The 13,742-nt window shown below is 43.6% G+C and overlaps 1 protein-coding gene across 10 annotated transcripts in view, besides 1 other annotated feature; it reads left to right on the top strand.

Annotated features, from left to right (window-relative positions):
* SASH1 (SAM and SH3 domain containing 1) overlaps positions 1-13,742 on the top strand; it is a 358,577-nt gene that overhangs the window by 157,737 nt on the left and 187,098 nt on the right. The window lies entirely within an intron of this gene.
* Positions 13,455-13,655: a silencer, noted in NCBI's record as "peak6206 fragment used in MPRA reporter construct". NCBI's record gives its function as "represses an SCP1 promoter by STARR-seq MPRAs in K562 erythroleukemia cells {active_cell/tissue: K562}" and the evidence as "EXISTENCE:reporter gene assay evidence [ECO:0000049][PMID:32103011]".

Below are 13,742 nucleotides of genomic sequence, written 5' to 3' on the forward strand. Positions count from 1 at the left end.
TTTTTTTTTTCTGAAAGGCTCTTCTATGGCTTTCAAGATGATTGGTGAAAATGGAAATATATTTGTATTTATGTTTGTTTTTCAAGATGATTGGTGAAAACGGAAATATATTTGTATTTATGTTTGCTCTTCAGACTAATGTTCTCTGTGTTCACAGAGATACATTGCAGTTCTCCTTGGGTGTCTGATGCAAGTTCCATTCATGGTTGATTTTGATGTTTCATTCACTATTTGCTAGATTCCTTTTGCAGCAAGTAGTGAGTGAGGAAGTTTCCATGTGTCCACCCATCACTCTGCCTGGTTGTGGCTTCCTTCTTTCTCCTAGCATGAGGTAGTAAGAAAGAAAATAAAAGCATTATAAGAATCACATGATTTTTAAGTAAAGAGCCATTGAGGAGCAGAATAAAAAATCTTGGGATATGCCCTGAGCCCTAGTTACTCACCGCTTTTTTTTTTTTTTTTTTTAACTGCCCTTAATCTAGTAGGACCTAGTTTCCTTTAAAATGTATCCTAAGCACCCTTGACTTTGTTGACTTTAATAATAATTTTGTATTGGTCTTGCTGTCAGCCAACAATTGTTTTTAACCTAGAGCTAAAACATGTTTATGTGTGTGTGTGCTTTAAAAATTTAGTGTTTCAACATTAAATTATTTGTAGAGGAAAGGAATACTCTAGTTCAAGAATATGTATCTTTGCTATAGGAGTTTGTCTTTGTCTGTTTTCATAGGATTTTAAGGACCTCCTTTGTGAAATAAACCATTAACAACTTTGTAGCATTCCTTGTTTGGAAATGCCCAGTCTTTTAAAAAAAAAGTTTTGAAAGAGAAGAGTAACAACCTTAATCTGTGAGTTAAAACATTTAGAAACAAACAAACAAAAGTTAATTGAACATCTCTTAGAAAACTGATAGGTAGAATAGTAAAGTAGTTAAGAGCAAAGGAACTATTTTAGGTTGTTTGAGTTCAAATTGTGGCTTTAACCCTTACCGGACATGTGACCTGGGTGAGTTATTTAATTATTCTGTACCTCAGTTTCCTTATCTGTAAAATGAGGTTAACAGTCACCAACATCATTGGGTTCTCATGAGGATTATTTAAATAATGAGAACAAAGGCCAGGCTTGGTGGCTCACGCCTGTAATCCCAGCATTTTGGGAGGCCAAGGCGGTGGATCACCTAAAGTCAGGAGTTCAAGACCACCCTGGCCAACATAGTGAAACCCCATCTCTACCAAAAATACAAAAATTAGCCAGGCATAGTGGCAGGCGCCTGTAGTCCCAGCTACTTAAGAGGCTGAGGCAGGAGGATTGCTTGAACCCAGGAGGTGGAGGTTGCAGTGAGCCAAGATCACACCACCGTACTCCAGCCTGGGAGACAGAGTGAGACTCCTTCTTATAAATAAATAAATAAATAAATAAATAAATAAATAAATAAATAAATAGAACTGTGCATGACATACGATGAGCAGTTCATAAATGTGAGTTATTGGCTGGGTACGGTGGCTCATGCCTGTAATTCCAGCACTTTGGGAGGCCGAGGCAGGTGGATCACCTGTCAGGAGTTCAAGACCGGCCTGGCCAACATGGCGAAACCCCACCTCCACTAAAAATACAAAAATTAGCCAGGTGTGGTAGTGGGCACTTGTAATCCCAGCTACTGGGGAGGCTGAGGCAGGGAGAATTGCTTGAACCTGGGAGGTGGAGGTTGCAGTGAGCTGAGATTGTGCTACTGTACGCCAGCCCGGGTGACAGAGCAAGTCTCTGTCTCCAAAGAAAAAAAAGTGAGTTATTATTAACTACTAACAATAGTTGAATCTCTTTATTTAGAATATGAATTAATATATCTTTATTTTAATCTTTTTAATTTTTTATTTTTTGTTTTTCAGAGGCAGGGTCTCCCTGTGTCACGCAGGCTGGAGTGCAGTGGTGTAATCAAGACTCACTGCTGCCTCGCCTCCCTGTGCTCAAGGGATTCACCTGCCTCAGCCTCCCAGTAGCTGAGACTATAGGCGTGCATTACCACGCTCAGCTTATTATATTTTTCTTATTTTTTCTAGCATTGGAGGGGTCTCTTTTTGTTGCACAGGCTGATCTTGAACTCTTGGCCTCAAGCAGTCCTCCCAAGTTAACTTCCTAAAGTGATGGGATTACAAGTGTGAACCACTGCATTACTAATTTTTCATTTTTAAATGAAGGGATGATGTTCTGATTCTACATGTTCAATTTAAGATTGATTTTTTTTTTTTTTTTTTTTGGACAGAGTCTTGCTGTCTCCCACGCTGGAGTGCAGTGGCGCGATCTCGGCTCACTGCAACCTCTGCCTCCCAGATTCAAATGATTCTCCTGCCTCAGCCTCCTGAGTAGCTGGGATTACAGGCATGCACCACCACACCTGGCTAATTTTTGTATTTTTAGTAGAGATGGGGTTTTGCCATGTTGGCCAGGCTAGTCTCGAACTCCTGACCTCAGGTGATCCACCTGCCTTGGCCTCCCAAAATGCTGGGATTACAGGCGTGAGCCACCATACCTGACCAATTGATCTTAACTATTGATTTGATTGAGGTAATATGCCCTTTTTAATATGTAGCTTAAAAATAAGTACATAAATTGCTTCAAGGTATTAACCTTCAGTTTACATATTGAGAAATATGTGTGTAAAATATCTTCTATACTCACAAGAGAAAAAGGCTGTGTACAGTGGTTCACTCCTGTAATCCCAGTGTTTTGGGAGGCCAAGACAGGAGAGTTGCTTGAGGCCAGGAGTTCAAGACTGGCCTGAGCAAGATGGAGAGACCACACCTCTACAAAAAAAATTTAAAAGAGTAACCAGGCATGGACCTGTAGTCCCAGCTACTTGGGAGGCTGAGTCAGGAGGATCCCTTGAGCCCATGAGGTCAAGGCTTCAGTGAGTTGTGATGGCACCATTGCACTCCAGCCTGGGTGATGGAGCAAGACATTGTGTCAAAACAAAGCAAAACAGAACAAAAAAGAAAGAAAAAAAGAGAGAAAATATGAATGCTTTTGAATAGCCAAGATTTTCTGAAAACAAGAAAATGCTTGTAATAAAAGTATATTTTCTGTTTAAATGGTACCCACATTGCCATTTTTAGTTTTTTTATGTGTCTAAGTGGCACAATAATATAAGAGAGCTTTTGAATAGTTTACTTATTTAGAAACATGTAAAATATTAAAAGCATTCACTTATGATTTCATTTTTTGAGTGATGGATTCATGAATGTACTAAATTGGTTTTTATAATCCTGATTTTTTTGTGTTTTTTTTGTTTTGTTTTGTAGACTCTTTTCCCAGGGTTTCATTCAGTTAGCAGCTATTTTTTATGAGCTATTTTCTGCAAATCACTCATTCTGCATCTTTGAGCTTTAATTAAGAGTCTTAGGTTTCCAGTCAAGAATTTATAAAGCCATCATATAACAATGGCCCCACCAGACTTATGAAAAACTTGACCACACATTTCAGCGTGAATATGGCAGAAAATGGGACTCATTGTGGTTTGAGGAAGAACTATAAGCCTGTAATGAATAAACCTGCCACTTATTTTATTTTATTTTATTTTCCCGCGAGATGGAGTCTTGCTCTGTCACCCAGGCTGAAGTGCAGTGGCGCAATCTCGGCTCACTGCAACCTCTGCCTCCCGCGTTCAAGCAATTCTCCCTCAGCATCCCAAGTAGCTGGGATTAGGGGCATATGCCACCACCCCCATCTGATTTTTGTATTTTAGTAAAGATGGGGTTTCACCATGTTGGCCAGGCTGGTCTCGAACTCCTGACCTCAGGTGATCCACCCACCTCTGCCTCCCAAAGTGCTGGGATTACAGGCATGAGCCACCGCACCCGGCCAAACTTGCCACTTACATAAATTGTTATTTTGGGATGATTTAGTTATGAATCTAAAGAGAGCCTACAGGAATTTGAAATCTTTGGGAAAGTCTGTAAAGACCATAAACATTTATTCTGAAAAGGTAAAACATTTCATTTTTAAGGCTCATTTTATTGTGAATTACAGTTTTTTAAAAAAAACCTTCTCAGAATGTATGGCATTAAGACATAGTCTACTGGGGTATGGTCATTACTGTCTTCTGCAACATGTTGTTGTAACTCACCTAACATGTGACGCCCAGGTGGTGATTTACTGGAAGAGCGTCATAACACTGATGTGTAGTAGCAATTTGCCTTGATTAGAGGATTGGGAAACTGAGACTTCATGATGAGCATTAAATAGGTGTCAAATGATTCCTAAATGATATGTAGAAGATATTATAAAATCTTCATGATGTAACTTTAGCATTATCAAAGAACTGGCTCCTTTTTCAACAGAAGAAAATGTCAGCTAGTTACCCCACGTTAATATTTTGTATCAAGAACTCTTTGGTTTGTCATGCCCCTGAGTGGCTGCATATTCTGAGTCTGGGTCTTTAGAAAGCAGGATGCCTTCTATAGTGGAAGAGCTTCCATAGAGACCAGGAGGGGAGACGAATAGAATGAACACATTCCTTAAACCTCGAGAGAAGCTTACCAGGTCACATCCCTTAATCTAAGAAGTGCTGCTCTAGAGATTAGAATGATCATATTTACATTGGTATGATTTCTTGCACTTCATATGTACTTTTACATATGCTGATTGGTTTTATTTTATTTTATTTTTGAATACAGGTTAAAAAAATTTCAATAGTTTTTGGGGAACAGGTCAGGTAGTATTTGGTTACATGAATAAGTTCTTTAGGGGTAATTTCTGAGATTTTGGTAAACCCATCACTTGAGGAGTGTACACAGCACTCAGTGTGCAGTCTTTTATACCTCATCCTCTTCCACGCTTCCCCCCAAGTCCCCCAAAGTCCATTGTATCATTCTGTTTTTTTTTTTTTTTCTTTTCTTTTCTTTTTTGAGATGGAGTCTTGCTCTATCCCCCAGGCTGGAGTGCAGTGGCGTGATCTCTGCTCACTGCAGCTTCTGCCTCCCAGGTTCCAGTGATCCTCCTGCCTCAGCCTCCTGGGTAGCTGGGATTACAGGCACACACCACCATACCTGGCTAATTCTTGTATTTTTAGTAGAGACAGAGTTTCACCATGTTGGCCAGGCTGGTCTCGAACTCCTGACCTTAGGTGATCCGCCTGCCTCAGCCTCCCAAAGTGCTGGGATTACAGGCATGAGCCACCACACACAGCCCATGAGGATGCCTGTGCAAGTGTCTTTTTCATATAATGACTTCTTTTCCTCTGGGTAGATACCCCCAGGAGTGGGATTGCTGCATCAAATGGTAGATCTACTTTTAGTTCTTTTTTTTTTTTTTTTTTTTGAGACTGGGTTTTGCTCTTGTCTTGGCTCACCTCAAACTCTGCCTCCTGGGTTCAAGCGATTCTCCTGCCTCAACCTCCCAAGTAGCTGGGATTACAGGCACCCACCACCACATCCAGCTAATTTTTGTATTTTTAGTAGAGACAGGCCAGGCTGGTCTCGAGCTCCTGACCTCAGGTGATCCTCCAGCCTTGGCCTCCCAAAGTGCTAGGATTACAGTGTGAGCCACCACGCCTGGCCTACTTTTAGTTGTTTAAGGAATCTCCATAGTGGTTGTACTAGTTTACATTCCCACCAGCAGTGTAAAAGTGTTTTCCCTTTTCACCACATCCATACCCACATCTGTTATTTTTTGATTATGGCCATTCTTGCAGAAGTAAGGTAGTATTACATTGGGGTTTTGATTTGTATTTCCCTGATAGTGATGTTGAGCATTTTTTTCCTTTGTTTGTTGGCCGTTTGTATATCTTCTTTTGAGAATTGTCTATTCATGTACTTAGCCCACTTTTTGATGGGATTATTTGTTTTTCTTGCTGATTTGTTTGAGTTCCTTGTAGATTCTGGATATTAGTTCTTTGTTGGGTGTATAGTTTGCGAAAATTTTCTCCCACTCTGTGGGTTGTCTGTTTACTCTGCTGATTATTTCTTTTGCTGTGCACATATGCTGATTGGATTTATGCCCTCAGAGCTACTAGAAACTTCCTGTTGTTGGCATCCTTTGGCCATGTAAATAATGTAGGGTTCCTGGTTTCCTTTTAAACACACCCACATTTTATTCAATAACCATAATTCAACAATTGCTGGCTGACTTTGGCTTCTGCAGATTTTAGACTTCCAAACTCATCTGTTTTACCTGTAAAACAGGTAAAATACTGAGCTTATATATCTTTGCACACTGCCCCACAGGGTGGACCAGACCCAGATGGATTTGGCCTCTGCTCTTTGAGCAGAGTTTGATGGTAAAGCCAGAAAGTCTCCCACAGTCTGGGTTTTCCCAGTTTCCACCCAGGCTCCCTGGATCCTGGTGTCTTGGATGCCAGTGTGGGTCAGTGTGGCAAACACCTAAGGCTTTGCATTTGCAGGTCCATCAATTCCAAGGTGGTGGAGAGAAGCACAGACTCCTACTCCTCATTGTAACCAGCTTGAGACAGGCTCCAGAACAGCACCCATGACTGTCCACTTTGTTCTTTATTGTAGAAAATAGAAAGGCCTACTTCCACGACATCGGGAAAGTCAGCCTCCTGTTGTCACCTAAAAGATTTTCGGCCAGGCACAGTGGCTCACACCTGTGATCCCAGCATTTTGGGAGACTGAGGTAGATGGATCACCTGAGGTCAGGCGTTCGAGACCAACCTGACCAATATGATGAAACCCCGTCTCTACTAAAAATACAAAAATTAGCCCGGTGTGGTGGCATGTGCCTGTAATCCCAGCTACTCGGGAGGGTGCGACAGGAGAATCGCTTGAACCTGGGAGGCGGAGGTTGCAGTGAGCTGAGATTGCACCGCAGCACTCCAGACTGGGCAACAAGAGCAAAACTCCGTCTCAAAAAAAAAAAAAAAAAAAAAAAAATTCAAGCTGCAGAGCAGTTAGGTTTTATCTTAGGTTTGGCTTTAAAAAAAAAATCAAGATTTGAAGACACATAAACCTGTTATTTGTACACCTGCAGACAGACTTGCAGACAAGTTTGAGTATGTTCTATTTCAAGTCTTGATGTATAAAGAAGATAATCCAGGGCGAGAGTTGCTCAAGGACTGTAGGTCACCGATGGCTCCCAAGGATCAGCCAGAGACCAATGAGCAAGTGAAAGCAGATTGGTTTGAATCTTGCATTTGCTGGTTGGCTCAAGAGAAGTAAGCACTGAATTATGCAATGCAGTTGGCAGGGAGGATTGAAGCGGCTCGGAGTGTTGTTTTGGCAGAAAAACTACTTAGCAAAATGAATGAGGGGAGGGAATAGTGACACACTACCTTCTGGGGTCCCAGGAGGGTCTGTTTCAAAATAATTTTTATGGAGGCAGAGAGAAGCACACTGATATTGTACCAGTGCCTTGGTTGTGACAGATAGTCACTGTTGTACAACTAGGGATATGGCCAGACTCTTAACTATCTTTTAAAACTAGAAGTGATTACCTTTATTGTTTTGCGTTAAATTTAAGTCACCCCTCCTTAGATGCTTGGTTGGTTCTTTGGTTTCCTGTTTCCTAATGCCATGTTTTTGTTTTTTTTTTTTTTTTTTTTGAGACGGAGTCTCCCTTCATCACCGAGGCTGGAGTGCAGTGGCGTGATCTCGGCTCACTGCAAGCTCCGCCTCCCGGGTTCACGCCATTCTCCTGCCTCAGCCTCCCGAGTAGCTGGGACTACAAGCACCCATCACCACACCCGGCTAATTTTTTGTATTTTTAGTAGAGACGGGGTTTCACCGTGTTAGCCAGGATGGTCTTGATCTCCTGACCTTGTGATCCGCCTGCCTTGGCCTCCCAAAGTGCAGGGATTACAGGCGTGAGCCACTACACCCGGCCCTAATGCCATGTTTAAACATCTGTGGTCCTTGGAATTTTTATTTAAAAATAAAAAAAAAATACAAGTATGTATATATAGGCATACTTCATTTTATGCACTTTGCAGTTATGGCTTGTTTCTGTTTTTGTTTTTGTTTTTCTTGAGACGGTGTCTCACTCTATTGTCCAAGCTGAAGTGCAGCTGCGCCATCTCAGCTCACTGTAACCTCCGCCTCCTGGGCTCAAGTGATTCTCCTGCCTCGGCCTCCTGAGTAGCTGGGATTACAGGCATGAGCCATTGTGCTTGGCCGGTTTTTTTTTTTTTTTTAACAAATTGAAGGTTTGTGGCAACCCTGTGTTGAGCAAGATTTTTGGTGCCATTTTTCCAATACCGTGCGCTCATTTTGAGTCCCTATGTCACATTTTGAAGCTGAATTGCTGCAATCTCATGATTAAACCTGAACAGATGTGGAGTTGCTTCTTATGGATGAGTAAAGAAAGTGGTTTCTTGAGCTGGAAACTACTCCTGGTGAAGATGATGTGAACATTGTTAAAATGACAACAAAGGATTTTGGGTATTCCATAAACTTAGTTGATAAAGCAGTATCAGAGTTTAAGAGGATTCATTCCTATTTTGAAAGAGGTTCTGCTGTGGGTAAAGTGCTATCACACAGTATAGTATGTTAAGGAGAAATCTTTCATGAAAGGAAGAGTCCCTTGATGCAGCAGATTTCTTTATTGTCTTTTATTTTATTTTATTTTTCTGAGATAGAGTCACTCTGTTGCCAGGGCTGGAGTACAGTGGTGCAATCTCAGCTCACTGCAACCTTTGCCTGCCGGATTCAAGTGAATCTCCTGCCTCAGCCTCCTGAGTAGCTGGGACTACAGGTGCCCGCCACCATGCCTGGCTAATTTTTTGTATTTTTAGTAGAGACGGGGTTTCACCGTGTTAGCCAGGATGGTCTTGATCTCCTGACCTTGTGATCCACCCGCCTCCGCTCCCAAAGTGCTGGGATTACAGGCGTGAGCCACCGCACCCAGCTGAATTTTTTTTTTCTTTCTTTACAAACCAAAGGAACCAGAAATTTGGTTGTCACCTGCTTCTTTGGAGGACTTCCTTTACTGATTCCTACATGGCTCTGCATTCCATGCTTCCTTGATGCCTCAGAGCTCAGTGGACAGAACAAGGGACGTCCTTCATTTTTTTTTTTAATCTAGTCAGTCATCGTAATTGATTTTTTCCCAAGGAGTTGGATTGGAGGTTGCATTTTTGTGTGATAGCTGGAATATTCTTTGAAACTTGGCTGCCACAGGACTTGCTTTTAATGCCTTTGTTTTTTTTTTTTTTTTTCGAGACAGAGTCTTGCTCTGTTGCCCTGGCTGGAGTGCAGTGGCGTGATCTTGGCTCACTGCAACCTCCACCTCCTGGGTTCAAGCGATTCTCTCGCCTCAGTCTCCTGAATAGCTGGGATTACAGGCATGTGCTACCACGTCCAGTTAATTTTTGTATTTTTAGTAGAGACAGGGTTTCACCATTTTGGTTGACCAGGCTGGTCTCAAACTCCTGACTGCCAGTGATCTGCCACCTTGGCCCCCCAGTGTTGGGATTACAGGCGTGAGCCACCCCCCCGCCAGGCTTTAAAGCCTTTTTAACAAAGATGCTGTGGGGCAGAAAGAATGGATGACCTAGTAATAAGAGTAAGGATAATATTGATATTAGCTGCAGTTATTTATGGAGCATGGACTATGTGTTAAACACTATACTAAGCTCTCTCCATACCTTAACTCATTTAATTGTTACAGTGACCCTGTGAGGTGTGGTTGTGGGTTGATTTTTTTTCCCACAAAAAAGGATACCTCGAAGTCCTAATCCCTGGTATCTGAGTGTGACTTTGTTTGGAAATGGCTTCTTTTCAGATTTAGCCAAGTTAAGTTGAGGTCATTAGGGTGGGCCCTAGTCCAACATGATTGATGTCCTTACTGGGACACAGACACAGATGTGCACGGGGGGAAGATGAAGTAAAGACACCCACAGAGAACAGCATGTGATGGTGGAGAATTGCAGTGATGCACCTGCAGGCTAAGGAATGCCGAAGATCGCTGGCAGCCCCCAGCAGCTAGGAAGTGGCGAGGACCTCTAGCCTCTAGAACTGGGAGACAATACATTTCTGTAGTTTTAAGCCACCCAATTATTGGTGCTTTGTTATGGCAGCCCCTAGGAAACAATACAGATGGCTGCTCTATTACCACAGGGTAGCAGCTTTGAGCTGTTGGGAGAAAGAGGAAAGTATAAAGACAGCAAGGCCAGACGCGGTGGCTCATGCCTGTAATCCCAGCACTTTGGGAGGGCAAGGCGGGTGGATCACCTGAGGTCAGGAGTTTGAGACCAGCCCAGCCTGACCAGCATGGAGAAACCCTGTCTCTATTAAAAATACAAAATTAGCCAGGCGTGGTGGTGCATGCCTGTAGTCCCAGCTACTCGGGAGGCCGAGGCCGGAGAATCGCTTGAACCTGGGAGGCAGAGGTTGTGGTGAGCTGATCGCACCATTGCACTCCAGCCTGGGCAACAAGAGTGAAACTCTGTCTCAAAAAAAAAAAGGAAAGGGAAAAAAAGGACAGCAGAACTTTTTCCAGGTTTCCTACCTTGCACAGCCCTACACCTTGGCCAGTAGAAAAAGAACATTGAGAAGATAGATAAGCAGAGAGCCTCAATATGACCCTGGCCATGGCAGCATAGAAACCGACTCAGGAAACATTTATCAGGTATGGGTTGGACCAGTGTGGAAGAAGAAGACAGGGGCCTCCTCCAGGGTACTTAGTGAGCAACAGGAGAGACAGAGACAGAGGGAAGCACGGTTTCCCTGATGAATGTCCAGCATTTCTTTTTTCTTTTTCTTTTTCTTTTTTTTTTTTTTTTTGAGACAGAGTCTCACTCTGTCGCCCAGGCTGGAGTGCAGTGGCGCGATCTCGGCTCACTGCAAGCTCCGCCTCCCGGGTTCATGCCATTCTCCTGCCTCAGCCTCCCGAGTAGCTGGGACTACAGACGCCCACAACCACGCCCAGCTATTTTTTGTTTGTTTGTTTGTTGTATTTTTAGTAGAGACGGGGTTTCTCCGTGTTAGCCAGGATGGTCTCGATATCCTGACCTTGTGATCCGCCCACCTTGGCCTCCCAAAGTGCTGGGATTACAGGCGTGAGCCACCGTGCCTGGCCTCTTTTTTTTTTTTGAGATGGAGTCTTGCTTTGTCGCTCAGGCTGGAGTGCAGTGGCGCCATCTTGGCTCACTACAACCTCTGCCTCTCTGGTTTAAGAGATTCTCCTGCCTCAGCCTCCCGAGTAGCTGGGATTACAGGCATGTGCCACCATGCCTGGCCAAATGTCCAGCATTTCTTACTAGGTTCTATGAGATAAGCAGTGATGTGGACTGAGCAATGAGGAAGAGATTGCAATGTGCCCCATCTTCCCTCCCACACAAGGCCTCAGTCTAATGCCCCTGGTTTTCTCCCCTTTCCTGCTTGCCATTTTTACTATTATATGCCTTTTTTTTTTTTGAAAGTGAGGTGAGGGTGAGGGTGTGGTCGTATGAGGAAACGGAGGCTTAGGAATGCTTTCCATCTTTGTTTTAAAATAGTGGAATTGAGCCTGGGTAACATAGTGAGACCCCTTCTCTACAAAAAATAAAAAATTAGTCAGGTGTGGTGGCGTGTGACTGTAGTCCCAGCTACTTGGAAGGATGAAGCAGGAGGATCACCTTAGCCCAGGAGGTTGAGGCTGCAGTGAGCCATGATTGTGCCACTGCACTCCAGCCCGGGAAACAGAGCAAGACCTTGCCTCAAAAATACATACATACATACAAGTAGTGGAATTGAGTTAAAGTTTCCTAAAGAAGATAATACCTCTTTGTTTTCCTCTTTGAATCTCAACTGCTACCTATCCCAACTGCCACCCAGGACAGAGCTGGGAGAGAGGGTGTGGAGAGAAAGTTGTAGTGCAGCATAGAAGTCTTATTGGTGCAGGGATTCCTGAAGTGGCTTCTTAGGTCTGGGCAGATATGCTGATGTGGGGCAGGGACCCTGGCCAAGGGTTTTGGGCATGGGCTGCATGGCTGCAAAGGAACCTTGGTGGTGATATCCATAAACACAGGGCTGCCCTGCCTCACCCCTTGGCCTCACCCTTTGAATTCCCTGTCCTCAATCCTTTGAATGCAACATCAGATGAATCACGGTGTTCTGGAGGACGTGGCGGTGGATAGTGTTAGGGACGGAGTGATTGAGGCTCTTCTTTATTTTTTTTATTTATTTATTTTTTTGTAGAGACAGGGTTTCACCATGTTGCCCAGACTGGCCTCAAACTCCTGGGCTCCAATGATGCGCCTGCCTGGGCCTCCCAACACTTCTTTTTTTTTTGAGATGGAGTCTTGGTCTGTTGCCAAGGCTGGAGTGCAGTGGCACGATCTTCGCTCACTGCAACCTGCACCTCCCAGATTCAAGCAATTCTCTGCCTCAGCCTCCTGAGTAGCTGGGATTACAGGCGCCCGCCACCACACCCGGCTAATTTTCTGTATTTTTAGTAGGGACGGGGTTTCACCATCTTGGCCATGCTGGTCTTGAACTCCTGACCTCGTGATCCACCCGTCTCGGCCTCCCAAAGTGCTGGGATTACAGGCATAAGCCACCACGCCCGGCCGATTGAGGCTCTTCTTAACCTCTGCTTCAGACCCCTCCTGGTACCACCTCACTCCCTGGTCTTTGAGGCTGTGTAAGATGTGCAGGCATCTTACAAGATTTGGAGAGTCAGAAATCACTCCTTGCTGGATTGCTGAGGGTTAGCAATGAAAGTAAAAGAGGATATGGAGAAAATGGAAACCACTTATAGGATATTTTATTCCCTGTGGATTCTATAATGGACATTTTAATTAAACTCTAATGGGACATACATTCTAAAAAGTTCTGATCCCTGAATAAATTAATATTAATGCCCACCATTCATTCAGAGTAAATGCATTGAGAGAAATGTCCTCACCAAGTAATATAAAAATGGAGAGTTAGAAAAATAAAATTTCCCAGCTCATCGGCAGCCCATCCTGTTGGTAAAGGACTGCTCCCTCTGGTCCATTACTGCCCATTACTTCCTCCAGCTCCACGTCAATGACTCATGCCAAAACCTCCATCACTTCCCTTTGGAGATTATTACACAGCCCAGCAGACATCCTATTAAGAAACTTCTTATTAGCAGAGGAAAAGGAAAGTTTTCACGTTGAGATCGAGAAGGAAGATGATTCATGGTCACGAAGGGAAAGGTCCCCTGAAGTCTTGAGAGATGGCTCACCACTGCTCCACTTTCCTTTGGGGACACACACACTCACCATTAGCTGTGGGAAGTCGATGGGGTGTGTGGAGAGGACCATACTCAATTAAAAGAATGACAGTGGAATCAGTAATTTTGAATCAAGCTCAGCGATGGATTACAAAAGCAAGAGTGTAGACTCCTAACTAATGTAGGGTGGAAGTTGAAACGTGAAAGTTGCCTGTCCTGAGCACGTTTAGAGTTCACAATTCAATATTCAAGAAGAACGTAAGGCTAGCAGTTGCTATAGTTGGGACAGGAAATGACTCAAGTCCAAAAGGAAGGTTTCTGTAGATACAAGGTCAAGATGAGAATAGGTTCTGCCACGGGAAATGGGAAGAACACAAGGATAGAGTCTGCATCATCCCCAAGGGTTCTGACCATAGGAAACATTGCAAAATAGTACAAATGAAGCATGGAGTCAAAGATACCAATATTAAAAAATTAAGAACATTCCATGATTAACAAAAATTTTCCCTCCGGCCGGGCACAGTGCTTCATGCCTGTAATCTCAGCACTTTGGGAGGCTTAGGAAGACAGATCACCTGAGGTCAGGAGTGGGAGACCAGCCTGGCCAACATAGTGAA

Source organism: Homo sapiens, chromosome 6 (assembly GCF_000001405.40).
Source record: "Homo sapiens chromosome 6, GRCh38.p14 Primary Assembly".
NCBI lineage: Eukaryota > Metazoa > Chordata > Mammalia > Primates > Hominidae > Homo > Homo sapiens.